This window comes from Homo sapiens, chromosome 18 (genome assembly GCF_000001405.40).
Source record: "Homo sapiens chromosome 18, GRCh38.p14 Primary Assembly".
NCBI lineage: Eukaryota > Metazoa > Chordata > Mammalia > Primates > Hominidae > Homo > Homo sapiens.
In genome coordinates, this window is record NC_000018.10 from 70,333,842 (window position 1) to 70,353,221 (window position 19,380).

General features: G+C 40.1%; 2 long non-coding RNA genes across 2 annotated transcripts, besides 3 other annotated features; one reads left to right on the forward strand and one right to left on the reverse strand.

Moving 5' to 3' along the window:
* Positions 1-1,597: 1,597 nt before the first annotated feature.
* Positions 1,598-18,618, forward strand: LINC01909 (long intergenic non-protein coding RNA 1909). Its single transcript, NR_126336.1, has 4 exons — positions 1,598-1,665; positions 2,217-2,299; positions 2,481-2,663; positions 18,138-18,618. It is a non-coding gene; the product is annotated as a long intergenic non-protein coding RNA 1909 (long non-coding RNA).
* LIVAR (liver cell viability associated lncRNA) lies at positions 1,667-4,339 on the reverse strand. The gene is made up of 2 exons (NR_146458.1): positions 3,373-4,339; positions 1,667-2,374 (listed from the first exon to the last, which is right to left on the reverse strand). It is a non-coding gene; the product is annotated as a liver cell viability associated lncRNA (long non-coding RNA).
* Positions 3,004-4,203: an enhancer, noted in NCBI's record as "MED14-independent group 3 enhancer chr18:68004081-68005280 (GRCh37/hg19 assembly coordinates)". NCBI's record gives its function as "activates an origin of replication core promoter dependent on BRD2, BRD4, P300/CBP and CDK7 cofactors, and independent of MED14, by STARR-seq in HCT116 cells {active_cell/tissue: HCT116}" and the evidence as "EXISTENCE:reporter gene assay evidence [ECO:0000049][PMID:35650434]".
* Positions 3,292-3,586: an enhancer, noted in NCBI's record as "tiled region #10196; K562 Activating DNase unmatched - State 9:DNaseU, and HepG2 Activating DNase matched - State 5:Enh". NCBI's record gives its function as "activates a minimal TATA promoter and a strong SV40 promoter by Sharpr-MPRA in K562 cells, with weak activation in HepG2 cells {active_cell/tissue: HepG2 | K562}" and the evidence as "EXISTENCE:reporter gene assay evidence [ECO:0000049][PMID:27701403]".
* Positions 14,395-14,987: an enhancer, noted in NCBI's record as "H3K27ac-H3K4me1 hESC enhancer chr18:68015472-68016064 (GRCh37/hg19 assembly coordinates)". NCBI's record gives its function as "activates a minimal SCP1, AML or CMV promoter by ChIP-STARR-seq in primed H9 embryonic stem cells {active_cell/tissue: H9 hESC(primed)}" and the evidence as "EXISTENCE:reporter gene assay evidence [ECO:0000049][PMID:30033119]".
* Positions 18,619-19,380: the final 762 nt, after the last annotated feature.

The window sequence follows — 19,380 nt, forward strand, 5'->3', positions numbered from 1 at the left end:
AATGAGTCCATCGGTTTGGTATGCCCATTTCATTTAAGTTCCTGGGATAAGAGCCTTGGAGTCATGATGTAACCAGGCAGTGCATAGAGCACTTCTCCAGCTCTGTTTAAATACACCATTGACTTGTTGCCTATGACGCCATCAAGAGTGTTCCTACAGACACAGCCAGACAGCTAAGTCAGGCAGAGCCCAAAATAGGCCACCCATTGACTCAGAAGCTGTTTTTCAGCCTTGAGTTCAAATTGTTTCCAGGTTTAGTCAGGGTTGAGGGGCCTTGGTTCTAAAGGGTAAAGCCAAGGTGCTCAGACAGTGTAGCAGGGAAACACAGCAGTCCCAAGGTGAATCCAAGACCCCTTTGACAATCCAGTGAGTTTTGTCCCTCTCAAGCTCACTTTACTATCCAAATGGACTGAATGTTTAACACCTTCCAAAACTCAAAAGATGAAATCCTAATACCCAAAGTGATGGTATTAGGAAATGGGGCCTTTGAGAGGTAATTAGGTCATGAGGGCTTTGCCTTCATGAATGGGATTAGCACCCTTATGAAACAGGCCCCCGAGAGCTCATTGGCCCCTAGAGAAGGTGCCATCTATGAAGCAAGAAGTGGGTTCTCAATGGACACCAGATTTCTGGTGCCTTGATCTTGGACTTCCCAGCCTCCAGAACTATTAGAAAGAAATTTCTGTTGTTTATAAGCTACCTAGTGTATGGCTTTGGGTTACAGCAGCCCAAACAAAGACACAGATCTTTACTTACTCCCACACCCCAAAATAGAAATACATGTAAAATTGTGCCTATAAAATAAACTTCTTCTCAAAGGTGAATGAGTAAGGCTGCTATTACTTATTGGAAAAACAAAATAATATGGTAGATCAGTTTTTGATATCTAATCATTTTGGCTTATGTTTACTATGGCAATAGATGTTGAAAGTGATGACTAACAAATGAAATCATGACACTACACTTTGCCTGGCGATGATGGGTGTGGTGTACACTGCTAGTTGCTGAGGCAACATCATGTCTCTATTTCGTCCTCATTAAGAAAATTGTAATTTTTACAGGAATGGCAGTGTGCCCAGTGAAAAAACTACAGTTACCAGACTCTCTTGCAGCTAAAGATGGTTGTGAGATGTAGTTCAGGCAAGATATACATTTATTGGGGTTTCTGGAAATGTTCCACTTCCTGCTATAGCCACTTATCCTCCCTTCTTCATCTTTCTTCTTCTTCTCCTGGCTTGCTAATGTAACTCTCCGATGCTCAGCAGTTACACATGCAGGACAGAAAAGCTGAAAGGTCAAATGAGCTGGCCCTGGAGCAGCTGCACTGGGCCCTGAAATGAATACCTTCATAGTGTTTGCAAGATAAATAAACCTCTTATTTGTTTAAGCAGCGTCAACGTTTCTGTTACTCTCAGTTAAATCAATCCCAATCAGAGAGTGCAGATTGAGAAACATCAAAATTTTCCAAAATTCTATGGGTTTTATTCATATCAAGTTGTCATCTTTACTTTCAGATGAAGGAGAGCTTTAGAAAGATGTGTTTGTTGTCTGTGTGCTTCATTGCAACAGCCCTGCCACACTAGGAGGAAGACAGGTTTTGGGTCCTGTCTTGGTGATAAAGATAAAACTAAAGGACAATCAAATCTCATCAAACTTCTCTCTGAGGTAAGCTGTTGAATACAATATTTTATTGAATATAATAAAAGCAAAGAGAAATGTCAACAATAATGATACCAGAATGCATCCTGTATTTCCATTAATGAGGAAACTGTTCTGGAATTAATACATGGAATTGATTGTATGGTATATTGCCTATTTGCAGTGTCATCCCATGCCATTATCTAACTATTTACAGAAAAAAAAAAGAAAAAACTTCTATGTAAAAGCAAGGAAAATGAGAGAAAGAATAATTTCAAAGGGGGATCTAATTTCAGATGATGAATGCCAGCTGTCAATGAACCTATACCGACTGTGTTTTTGATAAAACTAATAGTCCAAGCACCTAGAACTGTTACCCCTTTAATTGTTGATCCCTCATTTTTTAAATCATAAATATGAGTGGCTACCTGCCTCCTTCACAAGGTCGTGGTGAGAAGCAAATTGATGCCAGTGCCATTTTTTCCACCTCAATTCCTTGGGTTGCACAATTTTGTGGGAATTTCCTGGGAAAACTTCAAAGCAATTTAAATAGATCTGTCCCAACCATGCAATTACAGGAGCTGATGACGTTTCAGAAACAGTGACAAAGTTCAGAATCCCATTCTTCCATCCTAGATGGGAAACATCAACTTTCCTGATGGTGAGTTTGTCAGAGTCCATTCCCAAGAGTGGGGGTGGGGAGGTGGGGGTGGAGGCTGTTGACAGGCAATGATTTCTGTGGAGTAGAAGAGAGGAAAAGAGAAAAAGAATTTGTTAGTTGTAACAGACACTTCGGTTAATTGGTCTTCATCCACCTTTTCCTTGCCTGCCTCTCAATATAGATGCTGAAAAAGCAAGATACTCATTTTTTCCAGCCACCCTTGCAGAGCCAGAAAGCCCATGAGATTCAATAGATGTAAGACTGAGAGAGATTTTCATTCCTGGATGAAAGGAGACAGGCCTGGGAGAAGAGTTTTCTCTTGCCATCTTTGCAGTCTCTCCACTCCTGACGTGTACAGGGTCAGGTAAAGACTTGCTGTCTAGAAGTGTGGCAATGATTGGGTGGCCATGAATCATGAAACTTAAAGACAAAAACTAAACATGCTGCAGATTTGGAGTGGAAGGAAAGAAAGAGCATGGGACCCATGACCAGTCTGGGAAAATCTACCTCTGAACATCTTATTAAGTACACATTGAATGTCCTTCCTTAGCAAGTAGGTTGTTCCTGCCAGGTCTCGTATCCCTCAGTCTTGAAGAACATACACTGACACAGATGAGTGGGATGCACAAAATCATAGGGATTCAAGAAAGGTAACCCCAAAGAAACTCAAAGACAATACAACTCTTAACAGTTATATTATGAATAACCAGTCTCAAACTTAGCATGTTAGTTCTTGGAAATATTTACCTGGCAGAGTAAGAACCCGCTGGGACAATTACAGGGTTCTTCAGCCACTGAATCGATTTTAAATCAGTTTCTGTCTGGGAGAAATTTGGAATATCTCCTTCATTGAGAAGGGGCACAATAAGCACAGCTATAAAAATCAAGGAAACCATGAAAATAGTTTCTTATATTAATACAGCAAACATATTCCTGAAGGGATTGATAATTTCATTTTGTTTTTAATAATAATTAATCTTTGCAATATCCTGGTGGAGAGATGGAGAGATAAAGGATGATTACTACCACTTTAGAGGGGGAAAGATAGAAAGGACATGACATTAAATGATTACCTGTAAGCCATAGTTAAAATGTAGCCCCATGTAGACAGCCAGTAAGACAGCAGAGGTAAGATTCCAGATAGCTTAAGTTGCAGTCTGGCCTCTGTCCCTCAGGCACTCTCTCTAATGACTCAGCAGGTCCCAATGAGTCACTCAGTGCCTTGCACCTCCCAGAAACTAGGCTAGGATATAAAGAGAACACAGATTTAAAAAGAAAACCAAACTAACTCATTCAAACCATTGTAATTAAGGCAATCTAGTCATTTTTTGACTCTTAAACCTTTAGAATAAAAAGGCAGCAAAGGAGAAAAAACGAAATAAGGAAATCACCAATATAAAGAAATATACAAGAATACTTAAATGTCAGCAATATTGTCAAACAACTTCTACAAAGTAAGCAAAAATGGAGTAACTAGAAGTAGCAGAGGAGAGAAATATCATAAATATGTTAAGCATTGAGAGTTAGCTAGGGTTGTCAGCAAATAAAACTTTTTGTTTGTTAATATGGCATGCTATAACTCTTTCAAAATAACGTAAGTGGCTTGAAATAAAGTCTACATAAGCCACATGGCCTTTAGAATATAAATAACACTGCCTGAGTGTAAACCCTTGCCTTGCCACTTACTAGCAGTGCCATTTAGCTTCTCACTGCCTTAACTTTACTGATTAAGTTTATTGCGGTAGTAGTAACAGCTCCAGCCTCAGAGGGCTCTCACTTAAGAGTTAATTTATCTAAAATTTCTGAAACGGCACCTGGCCCAGAGTGAATACTATGCAAGTGTTTATTATTACAAGAATTGAATAATGTAATTAACAGGTATTTTAAAACATATTCATATATATATTTAATATAAACATTTGGAAGACGTAAAGAACTGATCATATCTTAGGACTTTAAGAATATCTCAGGCCGGGTGCGGTGGCTCATGCCTGTAATCCTAGCATTTTGGGAGGCTGAGGTGGGCGGATCACCTGAAGTCGGGAGTTTGAGACCAGCCTGTTCAACATGGAGAAACTCCATCTCTACTAAAAATACAAAAAAATTAGCCGGGCGTGGTGGCAGGTGCGTGTAATCCCAGCTACTCAGGAGGCTGAGGCAGGAGAATCACTTGAACCTGGGAGGCAGAGGTTGCAGTGAGCCGAGATCGCACCATTGCACTCCAGCCCGGGCAACGAGAGAAACTCTGTCTCAAAGAAAAAGAATATCTCAGCAGATTCTAAAAATTACAAAATATGAAACCCACATTCTCTGGCTACACTACAATAAGTAACCAATAATTATTTTTTTAACGGTAACATTTAAACACCCCCTCTTTGCCTCAACCCTCCACCACTGAATAAGGCATGTTGTTTTACAGGGGTGAGAAGTTGGTTGATTATTGGTGGTAGCATTTTTCCTACCATGGAACCACGAGAAATTTCCCCTTTTTCTTTGTTAAGCAAGATAGCTGGTCTCGAAGTCCTTGAGTTCTGGATATCCCTGACCTAGAGGAAAGCTAATATTGTTTTATGAGGCACATTAGGGGAAACAAGTTTTGTTCTGGGGGTGCAAAAAGAAAGTGGCCCTTCCTGGGGAGATAGTTGGATTTTATGAGACCAAGAGTTGGGAGTGTCTTCAGGTACAGGACCTTGGTTGGGGACTGGCTCCTGTCCTCCAATAGAGAACCAAATACCATGGCTTTTGGAGCTCAGCCAAGATCCCCAAGGCCAGATTTGATGTTAAGGGTGTGAAAGCCATGATCAGAACCTGTCCTCTAATAAAATTATATTGTAGGCATCTATTGTTACATAGCAAACTGTCCCAAAACTTTAAATTGTTGACTTACAACAATTTATTACATCTCCTGATTTTGTGGGTCTGGAATTTGGATAGGGATCAGCTGGGTGGTTCTTCTGTTCTAAGAAGGGTTGGCAAAGATCATTCAGTGTTATTCAGCTGACAGGTGGGCTGGGCTGGAGGGTTCTAAGATAGTTTCCTACACAGGAAGGCTTTGTGCATGTGTCTGGTCAAAGATGGCTGAAGAATCCACTTAGGAGGGTTGGTTGAGCAGAGCACCTACATGTGGCTTGTGCAGCATGATGATCTCAGTGCAGCCAGACATTGTAGATGGTGGCTCAGGACTCCAAGAGTGAATGAGACAGAGCACCATGGTCTTTTATAACCTACAACAGAAGTCCTCTACGGTCACAGGTACTATTTACTGGTCAACTCAGTCACAAGCCAGCCCAGATAAAAGGGAAGGGCTCATAACCCCCTTAGTAGTAGGAATGTCAAAAACTTTGCAACCACAACTTTAAACCACAACAGCTATGTCAGTATAAGCTTAGGGGAACATCAAAATGAACTGGGAATCAGGGTCCTTTCTCCCATTTCATGGACTACATAAGCCACCAGAATTCATGTGTAAATGTACCTGATGGAAGAGAAGCCAGAAGGAGGCTGATGGTTTTAATTAAATATTTTTAATCGCATCAAGAAAATATCCATAAATTCTTACTTTACTGAAGTTTTAAAACTGTTACATATTTAAAACAAATGTATTCATGTAAAAAGTACCACAAAATTTAAAATATCTCTTCTTCACTGTACCTCAACAGATTTCTGTTGGCTGCTGTGGCAAATGTCACACACTTAGTGACTTCAAATAACCCAGATGTATCATCTGACAGGGTGGAGATGGTAAGTGCAGCATAGGTCTCATTGAGCTAAAATGTACATGTTCAAAGCACTGAGTTCCTTCCTAGAGACTCTTGTAGAGAATCTGTTTACTTGCTCATTTAGGTTGCTGGCAGAATTTAGTTCTTGGAGGTTGTAGAACTGAGATCCTCATTTCCCCATTCCTAAGTTCCAAAGGCCATCCACATTCTTTGGCTCAGGGCCTCTCCTTCATCTTCAAAGCCAGCAATGGCAGGTCCAACTCTTGTCAGACTTTGCATCTTTCTCCCTCTTCCTGACTTCAGCCAGAAAAGATAACCTGCTGTGAAAGATTCAGGTGATTAGATTGTCTGCATTTAGATAAATCCAGGATAATCTCCCCATCTCAAGATCCTTAACTTAATCACACCTGCAAAGTTCCTTTTGTCAGAAAAGGCAATATACTCACAGTTTCTGGGGATTAAGATGTGGATATGTTTGGGGGCCATTATTCTGCCTATCACACTCAAAGCTCCCTATCTGATTTCTAAAATCTTCTTGCTCTATTACCAGTGTAAACTACTATTTCTGGATTTTCTTGTTTAGGTTAGACCTTAGCATTAGGGCATTAACTGTTGACTAACTTTCATAAATGTAATGCTTTAATTCTTTTATATAACCACACACTCACACACATACATATTGTTTCTTCTCTCATTCTCCCAAAAGTGTTATATCCCAATTCTTGGAGGTATTCAAATTATTATAAGCCAGTAAATATTTTTATAACTAAAACATATATTGTGCTATGATTATTTTTTCCTGTATAACTTTTCTTGTACAACTGCAGTCTCATTATTTGTCACATGTTTTTCATTCACTTAATTTTCTATGTATTGGTCATCTTTGAAGTTTTCATCAGAATTGGAAATTATTTCTCAGTACATTGAAACACAACAGATAATCTATCCATTTTTCTTTCTTCTTGAAACATCCCTACTTGTCCTCATGCTTTTTCCTTTGAACTTGGATGGATTTCTCTCTAGTCTACTATAGCTACTAACCTTAAGATATCCTTAAGTTACTCTTTGTATCACTCCCGGTGATACTTAGTGAGTTATCTTATTATCACTCCCAGGATTCCCTTCATATTTCTCCTATGTTGGGGATCACCTGTCTCTGGGTTTACTCCCTCTTTTTGTTGGAGCACATCCTCCAATAGGTCCCTGAGAAAAAGTGCATGATTATTTTTTCTTTTTTAGTTTGAATGCTTTAAAATCTCTTTATTCCACTCATTTGTATGTCTATTTGTTTACTGGTTAGGCTGTGTGTAGTATTCTGGGTTGGAAATCTGTCTCCAGAACAAAGCTGAGATTTGTGGGGGTATGGTGTGGCCAGTGGCCTACATGGCATGTCATAGCAATGGAGTGACAGAGAAGGATACTTGTGAAGAGAGAGTTAACCAGAATGATGTCTCCCCAAGAACATTCTCAGGAAGATCACTTTCAGAAGAGAATAGACATGGTACTTGAGGATCTGAGAACTAATTCTTTTAAACTATCCATACCTGCTTACTTAAGAGAACTTTACATGTATTTAACCTCTAGACTTTCATGTACTTACCCCAGTTTGCATACTGCTGTTCTAAAACATCAAATCTTCCTGGAAATGTGGGAACCAAGAGGTAGAGAGACATAAATACCAGACTCCCTTTCTTCTTTACTTATCTCCCAAAACCAGAGACAAAAAGCTTTAGCTATTTTTTTCTTCTGTATCACATCCTTTTCCCACCCTATAGAACACCAGTAAAAGTGGTTAGGTGGCCTCTTTGTGATTTTGATGTTCAGTAACCTAAATTTCTCTAGATTATAGAATCCAGAATACTCAGATATGGCCATGAGTGATGACAATTGTCCTTTATTATTGTTCGTTTTAAAATTTATATTAGAGGCCAGGTGCAGTAGCTCATGCCTATAAGCCCAGTACTTTGGGAGGCCGAGGCAGAAGGTTCACTTGAGCCCAGGAGTTCGAGACCAGCGTGGGCAACATGGCCAGACCCCAACTCCATTAAAAAATATATAAATTAGCCAGGTTTGGTGGTACTACTTGGGAGGCTGAGATGGGAGGATTGCTTGAGCCTGGGAGGTTGAGGCTACAGTGAGCTGGGATCACACCATTGCATTCCAGCCTGGGAGACAGAGCGAGACCTTATCTCAAAAAAATATATATATATATATACACACACACACATATATATGTGTGTGTGTGTATATATATGTGTGTGTGTGTATATACATATACATATATACATATACATATACATATATACATGTATATATGTATACATATACGTATACATATACATATATACATGTATATATGTATACATATATGTATACATATACATATATACATGTATATATGTATACATATATGTATACATATACATATATACATGTATATATATATTAGAAACTTGCATGGTTCCCTTTGAAAGATATGAATTTAAGATATATATGCATTTTAGATTTTTAAAAAGACATCTTTTTTTTGTTTTGAGACAGAGTTTTGCTTTTGTCCCCCAGGCTGGAGTGCAATGGCACAATCTCAGCTCACTGCAACCTCTGCCTCCCGGGTTCAAGCAATTCTCCTGCCTCAGCCTCCCGAGTAGCTGGGATTACAGGCACGTGCTACCACACCTGGCTACTTTTTGTATTTTTAGTAGAGATGGGGTTTCACCATGTTGGTCAGGCTGGTCTTGAACTCCTGACCTCAGGTGATCCATCTGCCTCGGCTTCCCAAAGTGCTGGGATTACAGGCATGAGCCACCGCACCCAGCCAAAAGACATCATTTTTAAGAATTCAAGTTAAGGAAAAGAAAGACTTCAATAATTTTCTAATCACCTGTATCTTTGTTGTGAGCAATTTTGGCATATGTGCCTGCTAACGTCATACTAAAAATTATGATTAATTTTAGAAACATTTTAAAGGAAGTAATTAAGTCCTAGAGACTAGGTATTATGGCAGTGTTATAACCTTACGCTAAGTTTTTTATTTTTTTTTTAATGTTGGCTACCACTTATTTGTGTGTGTGTGTATGTTTTCTTTTTTTATTATTGTTATACTTTAAGTCCTGGGGTACATGTGCACAACGTGCAGGTTTGTTACATATGTATATATGTGCCATGTTGATGTGCTGCACCCATTAACTCGTCATTTACATTAGGTATATCTCTTAATGCTATCCCTCCCCCTGCCCCCACCCCACAACAGGCCCCAGTGTGTGATGTTCCCCTTCCTGTGTCCAAGTGTTCTCATTGTTCAATTCCCACCTATGAGTGAGAACATGCAGTGTTTGGTTTTTTGTCCTTGCGATAGTTTGCTGAGAATGATGGTTGCCAGCTTCATCCATGTGCCTACAAAGGACATGATCTCATCCTTTTTTATGGCTGCATAGTATTCCATGGTGTATATGTGCCACATTTTCTTAATCCAGTCTATCGTTGATGGACATTTGGGTTGGTTCCAAGTCTTTGCTATTGTGAATAGTGCTGCAATAAACATACGTGTGCATGTGTCTTTATAGCAGCATGATTTATAATCCTTTGGGTATATACCCAGTAATGGGATGGCTGGGTCAAATGGTATTTTTAGTTCTAGATCCTTGAGGAATCACCACACTGTCTTCCACAATGGCTGAACTAGTTTACAGTCCCACCAACAGTGTAAAAGTGTTCCTATTTCTCCACATCCTCTCCAGCACCTGCTGTTTCCTGACTTTTTAATGATGGCCATTCTAACTGGTGTGAGATGGTATCTCATTGTGGTTTTGATTTGCATTTCTCTGATGGCCAGTGATGATGAGCATTTTTTCATGTGTCTGTTGGCTGCATAAATGTCTTCTTTTGAGAAGTGTCTGTTCATATCCTTTGCCCACTTTTTGATGGGGTTGTTTGTTTTTTTCTTGTAAATTTGTTTGAGTTCTTTGTAGATTCTGGATATTAGCTCTTTGTCAGATGAGTAGATTACAAAAATTTTCTCCCATTCTGTAGGTTGCCTGTTCACTCTGATGGTAGTTTCTTTTGCTGTGCAGAAGCTCTTTAGTTTAATTAGATCCCATTTATCAATATTGGCTTTTGTTGCCATTGCTTTTGGTGTTTTAGACATGAAGTCCTTGCCCATGCCTATGTCCTGAATGATATTGCCTAGGTTTTCTTCTAGGGTTTTTATGGTTTTAGGTCTAACATTTAAGTCTTTAATCCATCTTGAATTAATTTTTGTATAAGGTGTAAGGAAGGGATCCAGTTTCAGCTTTCTGCATATGGCTAGCCAGTTTTCTCGGCACCATTTATTAAATAGGGAATCCTTTCCCCATTTCTTGTTTTTGTCAGGTTTCTCAAAGATCAGATGGTTGTAGATGTGTGGTATTATTTCTGAGGGCTCTGTTCTGTTCCATTGGTCTATATCTCTGTTTTGGTACCAGTACCATGCTGTTTTGGTTACTGTAGCCTTGTAGTATAGTTTGAAGTCAGGTAGCATGATGCCTCCAGCTTCTATATTTTTGCTTAGGATTGTCTTGGCAATGTGGGCTCTTTTTTTGTTCCATATGAACTTTAAAGTAGTTTATTTTCCAGTTCTGTGAAGAAAATCACTGGTAGCTTGATGGGGATGGCACTGAATCTATAAATTACCTTGGGCAGTATGGCCATTTTCATGATATTAATTCTTCCTATCCATGAGCATGGAATGTTCTTCCATTTGTTTGTGTCCTCTTTTATTTTGTTGAGCAGTGGTTTGTAGTTCTCCTTGAAAAGGTCCTTCACATCCCTTGTAAGTTGGATTCCTAGGTATTTTATTCTCTTTGAAGCAATTGTGAATGGGAGTTCACTCATAATTTGGCTCTCTGTCTGTTACTGGTGTATAAGAATGCATGTGATTTTTGCACATTGATTTTGTATCCTGAGACTTTGCTGAAGTGGCTTATCAGCTTAAGGAGATTTTGGGCTGAGATGATGGGGTTTTCTAAATATACAATCATGTCATCTGCAAACAGGGACAATTTGACTTCCTCTTTTCCTAATTGAATACCCTTTATTTCTTTCTCCTGCCCGATTGCCCTGGCCAGAACTTCCAACACTATGTTGAATAGGAGTGGTGAGAGAGGGTATCCCTGTCTTGTGCCAGTTTTCAAAGGGAATGCTTCTAGTTTTTACCCATTCAGTATGATATTGGCTGTGGGTTTGTCATAAATAGCTCTTATTATTGTGAGATACGTCCCATCAATACCTAATTTATTGAGAGTTTTTAGCATGAAGGACTGTTGAATTTTGTCAAAGGCCTTTTCTGCATCTATTGAGATAATCATGTGGTTTTTGTCTTTGGTTCTATTTATATGCTGGATTACGTTTATTGATTTTCGCATGTTGAACCAGCCTTGCATCCCAGGGATGAAGCCCACTTGATCATGGTGGATAAGCTTTTTGATGTGCTGCTGGATTTGGTTTGCCAGTATTTTATTGAGGATTTTTGCATCGATGTTCATCAGGGATATTGGTCTAAGATTCTCTTTTTTTGTTGTATCTCTGCCCGGCTTTGGTATCAGGATGATGCTGGCCTCATAAAATGAGTTAGGGAGGATTCCCTTTTTTTCTGTTGATTGGAGTAATTTCAGAAAGAATTGTACCAGCTCCTCCCTGTACCTCTGGTAGAATTCGGCTGTGAATCTGTCTGGTCCTGGACTTTTTTTGGTTGGTAGGCTATTAATTATTGCCACAATTTCAGAGCCTGTTATTGGTCTATTCAGGGATTCAGCTTCTTCCTGGTTTAGTCTTGGGAGGGTGTATGTGTCCAGGAATTTATCCATTTCTTCTAGATTTTCTAGTTTATTTGCATAGAGGTGTTTATAGTATTCTCTGATGGTAGTTTATATTTCTGTGGGATTGGTGGTGATATCCCCTTTATCATTTTTTATTGCATCTATTTGATTCTTCTCTCTTTTCTTCTTTATTAGTCTCGCTAGTGGTCTATCAATTTTGTTGATCTTTTCAAAAAACCACCTCCTGGATTCATTGATTTTTTGAAGGGTTTTTTTTGTGTCTCTATCTCCTTCAGTTCTGCTCTGACCTTAGTTATTTCTTGCCTTCTGCTAGCTTTTGAATGTGTTTGCTCTTGCTTCTCTAGTTCTTTTAATTGTGATGTTAGGGTGTCAATTTTAGGTCTTTCCTGCTTTCTCTTGTGGGCATTTAGGGCTATACATTTCCCTCTACACACTGCTTTAAATGTGTCCCAGAGATACTGGTATGTTGTGTCTTTGTTCTCATTGGTTTCAAAGAACATCTTTACTTCTGCCTTCATTTCATTATGTACCCAGTAGTCATTCAGGAGCAGGTTGTTCAGTTTCCATGTAGTTGAGCGGTTTTGAGTGAGTTTCTTAATCCTGAGTTCTAGTTTGATTGCACTGTGGTCTGAGAGACAGTTTGTTATAATTTCTGTTTTTTACATTTGCTGAGGAGTGCTTTACTTCCAACTATGTGGTCAGTTTTGGAATAAGTGTGATGTGGTGTGAGAAGAATGTATATTCTGTTGATTTGGGGTGGAGAGTTCTGTATATGCCTATTAGGTCTGCTTGGTGCAGAGCTGAGTTCAATTCCTGGATATCCTTGTTAACTTTCTGTCTTGTTCATCTGTCTGATGTTGACAGTGGGGTGTTAAAGTCTCCCATTATTATTGTGTGGGAGTCTAAGTCTCTTTGTAGGTCTCTAAGGACTTGCTTTATGAATCTGGGTGCTCCTGTATTGGGAGCATGTATATTTAGGATAGTTAGCTCTTCTTGTTGAATTGATCCCTTTACCATTATGTAATGACCTTCTTTGTCTCTTTTGACCTTTGTTGGTTTAAAGTCTGTTTTATCAGAGACTAGGATTGCAACCCCTGCCTTTTTTTGTTTTCCATTTACTTGGTAGATCTTCCTCCATCCGTTTATTTTGAGCCTGTGTGTGTCTGTGCATGTGAGATGGGTCTCCTGAACACAGCACACTGATGGGTCTTGACTCTATCCAGTTTGCCAGTCTGTGTCTTTTAATTGGAGCATTTAGCCCATTTACATTTAAGGTTAATATTGTTATGTGTGAATTTGATCCTGTCATTATGATGTTAGCTGGTTATTTTGCTCGTTAGTTGATGCGGTTTCTTCCTAGCATTGATTATCTTTACAATTTGGCATGTTTTTGCAGTGGTTGGTACCGGTGATCCTTTCCATGTTTAGTGCTTCCTTCAGGAGCTCTTGTAGGGTAGGCCTACAAGAGCTTGGGGGTGACAAAATCTCTCAGCATTTGCTTGTCTGTAAAGGATTTTATTTCTCCTTCACTTATGAAGCTTAGTTTGCCTGGATCAGAAATTCTGGGTTGAAAATTCTTTTCTTTAAGAATGTTGAATATTGGCCCCCACTCTCTTCTGGCTTGTAGAGTTTGTGCCGAGAGATCTGCTGTTAGTCTGATGGGCTTCCCTTTGTGTGTAACCCGACCTTTCTCTCTGGCTGCCTTTAACATTTTTTCCTTTATTTCAACTTTGGTGAATCTGACAATTATGTGTCTTGGGGTTGCTCTTCTCGAGGAGTATCTTTGTGGCATTCTCTATTTCCTGAATTTGAATGTTGGTCTGCCTTGCTAGGTTGGGGAAGTTCTCCTGGATAATATCCTGCAGAGTGTTTTCCAACTTGGTTCCATTCTCCCCGTCACTTTCAGGTACACCAATCAGATGTAGGTTTGGTCTTTTCATAGTCCCATATTTCTTGGAGGCTTTGTTCATTTCTTTTTACTCTTTTTTCTCTAAACGTCTCTTCTCGCTTCGTTTCATTCATTTGATCTTCAATCACTGATACCCTTTCTTCCACTTGATCAAATCGGCTACTGAAGCTTGTGCATTTGTCACGTAGTTCTCGTGCCATGGTTTTCAGCTCCATTAGGCCATTTAAGGACTTCTCTACACTGGTTATTCTAGTTAGCCATTTGTCTAATCTTTTTTCAAGGTTTTTAGCTTCTTTGTGATGGGTTCAAACTTCCTCCTTTAGCTCGAAGAAGTTTGATCATCTGAAGCCTTCTTCTCTCAACTTGTCAAAGTTATTCTCCGTCCAGCTTTGTTCCATTGCTGGTGAGGAGCTGTGTTCCTTTGGAGGGGGAGAGGCGCTCTGATTTTTAGAATTTCTAGCTTTTCTGCTCTGTTTTTCCCCATCTTTGTGGTTTTATCTACCTTTGATCTTTGATGATGGTGACGTACAGATGGCGTTTTGGTGTGGATATCCTTTCTGTTTGTTAGTTTTCCTTCTAACAGTCAGGACCTTCAGCTGCAGGTCTGTTGGAGTTTGCTGGAGGTCCACTCCAGACCCTGTTTGCCTGGGTATCAACAGCAGAGGCTGCGGAACAGCAAATATTGCTGAACAGCAAATGTTGCTGCCTGATCATTCCTCTGGAAGCTTCATCTCAGAGGGGTATCTGCCCATGTGAGGTGTCAGTCTGCCCCTACTGGGGGGTGCCTCCAAATTAGGCTACTCGGGGGTCAGGGACCCACTTGAAGAGGCAGTCTGTCTGTTCTCAGATCTCAAACTCCATGCTGGGAGAACCACTACTCTCTTCAAAGCTGTCAGACAGGGACATTTAAGTCTGCAGAAGTTTCTGCTGCCTTTTGTTCAGCTATGCCCTGCCCCCAGAGGTGGAGTCTACAGAGGCAGGCAGGCCTCCTTGAGCTGAGATGGGCTCCACCCAGTTTGAGCTTCCTGGCCACTTTGTTTACCTTCTTAAGCCTCAGCAATGGCAGGCGCCCCTCCCCCAGCCTTGCTGCTGCCTTGCAGTTAGAACTCAGACTGTTGTGCTAGCAATGAAAGAGGCTCCGTGGGCGTGGCACCCTCCAAGCCAGGCACAGGGTATAATCTCCTGATGTGCCATTTGCTAGTATCATTGGAAAAGCACAGTATTAGGATGGGAGTGGCCCAATTTTCCAGGTGCCATCTGTCCCAGCTTCCCTTGGCTAGAAAAGAGAATTCCCTGACCCCTTGTGCTTCCGGGGTGAGGCGATGCCTCGCCCTGCTTCGGCTCATGCTCGGTGGGCTGCACCCACTGTCCTGCACCCACTGTCCTACAGGCCCCAGTGAGATGAACCTGGTATCTCAGTTGGAAATGCAGAAATCACCCGTCTTCTGCGTCGCTCACGCTGGGAGCTGTAGACTGGAGCTGTTCCTATTCGGCCATCTTCCGCTTTAAGTTTTTTATAATCTTTTTGGGAAGGTAAGACAGTTATACAGTGAACAGTTAAGCAGTCTATGATTAATTGCCAAAATGAGTGCTATAAAGTTATAATCTCTGATTCAGTATCAGGAAAGACCAGGGCTGTTAGGGAATTTGCCCCAGAACTTTATTTTATAATCTATTTAGATTTTTTTAAAAATCCTAAACTGTCAGGTAGTGAGAAATGCAACCGAAAATTTCATACTAAAATTTATATTTACCTTAGTTATATTCTTAACCTCTGGGTCCAGACATATTCATTTCTACAAGTTCTGAATAGAAATAAACATTAAGATATTAAAATTGAATTTTCACCCTAAGGCTAATATGGAAATGAAATTGAAAAAAATACATCTATTGCTTTTACACAGAGCTTCCTAAGAGATTTTAGTCATATGAACATTTATATGTCTTGCATTTTAACTTCCTGAGGGAACAATAGAAATATATTCCCACCCTGCTAAGGGCTTACCACCCAGTTCCTATAGAGAGGGAAATCCTTTCAACTCAAATAGTTTAACAACAGTGTTACAGTTTAAGGCTCTATCAATTAGTGATGAAGGATAACAATTTAGTAGTTGATAAATATTACATATTTGATGTCTGTAGATGAACTCTTTCGTGCCCTTGAGCTAATAACACATATTAATTAAGTTAAATGCAGATTTCACACTTAATCTTCGCATTACATGGCAAATGTAGATAGCTTGAAAAGTCACAAATGACTTGAAACACTATAAATGTGTAGGTATTTCAGTATATAAGTCACAAAACAAAAAAATATTCAGTTCAAATTGTTCTAAAGCTCAAGTTCAAATTTCCCTTTCTAGTTGACATTTGCTGAATTTCTGGAATCCACCAATTGTCTTTAAATTCTAAACAGGGAAAAACTACTTCCTTAGGAGTAAGGAAAAAAAAAACTGATGAAAATTAAATCACTTTTTAAAGCAATCACAAACCAGCCATCAACTATCATTACTAGGGAAATATGTAGTTAGGATTAGGAAGTGAGAACTCTTTGAGTGGGACCCTGAAGGCATATATATAAATATAAACTACACACCACACCTTGGCTGTACTTGCCAGCTGAGGCTTCAAAAATTACATGGTTTCTAATAAGTAAATTACATTCATATTTTTCCCATAATCAAAGGATATAGATCAAAGTTTGGATTCACAATCTTGTTGCCTTCTGAAGAGGCATTCTCATATGAAAAAGAGGCCATTGCCTAGGTAAATCAAGAGACCAGCTTAGAAAGTGATCAAAGCCATGAAAAACCCATTTTGTTAATTATTCAGGGATATGCAGACACACTTATTGAGAGCTCCAAGGTCACAGCAAAGCAAAGTATTGGTGTACATTTCAGCTTTGTGCCTTGGCATTTTTTTTTCATTAAAATGGCTTCATTTGGAAACCCATAAGAAAAAGCACTGCTGTACCAGAAGAAGAAAAAGAGGCTGTAGATTTTAAACTTCAGTAGAATTCGTTTCAGCAACTTATATATATTTTTTACCTTTAACCTATTTGAATGTGACAGCTGTAGGAAATACGTTGGAATTGAATCTTTAACAACTACAAAAGTCTTGTTTTTGAAAGAAAATTTTGTTAGATACTGGAACAACCTGAATGAATGCAACACAGAATTATTAAAAATGCTATTTCTGGAGATAGAAAAAAGCTGTGCTAGGTTTGGAGGACTTCTGGATTTAAGGTGGCAAGAGCAGAGCAAAAACAAATTAACTGCAGGAATGTTTTCCATTCCAGAGTAAGTCTGCCTGCTCAGATAATAAAGGAAAACCAAAATTCTCTTGGTTATGGTTGGGTTTGTACACATTTTGTTGTTGTTGTTGTTGTTGTTGTTGTTGAGATGGAGTCTTGCTCTGTTGCCCAGGCTGGAGCATGGTGGTGTGATCTCAGCTCACAGCAGCCTCTGCCTCCCGAGTTCAAGCAATTCTCCTGCCTCAGCCTCCTGAGTATCTGGGATTACAGGCGCGTGCCAATGCACCCTACTAATTTTTTATATTTTTAGTAGAGATGGGGTTTCACCATGTTGGCCAGGCTAGTCTTGAACTCCTGACCTTAGGTAATACGCCCACCTTGGCCTCCCAAAGTGTGCACAGTTTTTAAACCACTAAAACATCATATACACCATGCAGAAATACTACAACTAAATATCTAACTGAATGGGAAAAAAGAGAGGAGTCGGGGGCTACACAAATAGGACAAGAGACCTCAGGTTAAAAAGCTGAGGTGGCCCACCCAACCACCAGCTGGGATCTGATCCACCCTCACTGTTATGAACTGAATGTTTGTGTCCCTCTAAAATTCATATATTGAAGCGCTAACACACCCATGTGATGGTATTTGGGGCTGGGGCCTTTCGGGGGTAATTAGGGTTTGATGAGGTCATGAGGGTAGGGCCCCCAATAGGATTAGTGCCCTTACAAGAAGAGCACGGGCCAGGTGCAGTGGCTCACACTTGTAATCCCAGCCCTTTGGGATCCCAGGCCAAGACAGGAGTATCACTTGAGGCCAGGAGTTCAAGACCAGCCTGGGCAACATAGTGAGACCCTGTCTCTATTAAAAATAATAATAAAAAATAGCCGGGCATGGTGGTGTGTGCCTGTAGTCCCAGCTACTTGGGAGGCTGAGGTGAGAGGATTGCTTGAGCCCAGGAGGTCAAGGCTGCAATGAGCTATGGTCATGTCACTGTGTTCCAGCCTGGGTTTTAGTGCAACACCCTATCTTTAAAAATAATAATAATAGTAATAAGAAAAGACACCAGAGTGCACTCATGTTTGTGCATGGGTGTTCTCTCTCTCACTTGCTTTCTCTCTCTCTCTCTCTACCTGTATACACTAAGGAAAGGCCATGTGAAAACATGGCGAGAAGACAGTCATCTGCAACCCAAGGAGAGAGACTTCACCAGACACTGACCCTGCTGGCACCTTGATCTTGGACTTCCAGTGTTCAGAACTATAAGAAATAAATTCCTGTTATGTAAGGTGCCCAGTCCATGGTATTTTGTTGTAACAGCCTGAGCTGTTGAAGATGGATTTTCCTTTCAAGATCAGATCTTGGGCCTCAGAGTCAGCCTCACTATAGAAAGCAAGGGCTAGTCTCAGCTTCCCACAGAAGACTTGGTTTTATTGGAGGCAAGTTTTGTCTTGCTTACAATGAGGTTATACAAAGCATAACAAAATTCACATTTTGTTAAGTGACTACCATATGATCACTCTGAATTTTATTTTACCTGTCATTTCTCGGTATCAATAGGTTTTACTTCCCCTTGTTCTGGATTTCAGTGATTGATGACTGAATACAATAAATATTTATTGAGCGCCTTTTATGAGGAGATATTAATTGAACAAAATGCCTGTCCTCACAGAGTCGACATTCTGATGGAGGGTGCTAGGAGAAGAGAGGGAAAGACAATAAACATGTAAACAAATAAACATGGCATATCAAACGTCAGATTATGACTTCCACTTCTGGCTGTGAAAAGCCATCTTGTAGCTGATTAACCATCCCACCTAAAACACTACATCTGAAACATAAAGAAAACACTGGGGAGCAGCCAACTTAGGCAGGCGGGACTTGATGGGTTACAGTGCTCCAGACAGAAAACCCAGGGAGGAAGCTCCACGATTACCCTGGTTTTTCCCCGAGCACATTTTCCAAACTGCAGCATGCATGAAAAGACTTGAAGCTGAAAGTGGCAGTCTTAGCAAGTAAAGGGACAACAGCCAGTGTGTAGAGCTATCAAAGTATCTTGAACTTGAGGGACAAAACCTTAGAAAGTGAGGAATCACAAACAAACAACAACAACAAAAAATAACAAAAAACAAGGAATTTCATACAATTTCCCTCAAGCCATTGTTGGACTCTTTTTTTTTTTTTTTTTGAGACAGAGTCTTGCTCCCATCGCCCAGGCTGGAGTGCAGTGGCGAGATCTCGGCTCACTGCAACCTCCGCCTCCTGGGTTCAAGCAATTCTCCTGCCTCAGCCTCCCGAGTAGCTGAGACTACAGGCGCCCAACACCACGCCCGACTAATATTTGGTATTTTTAGTAGAGACGGGGTTTCACCGTGTTAGCCAGGATGGTC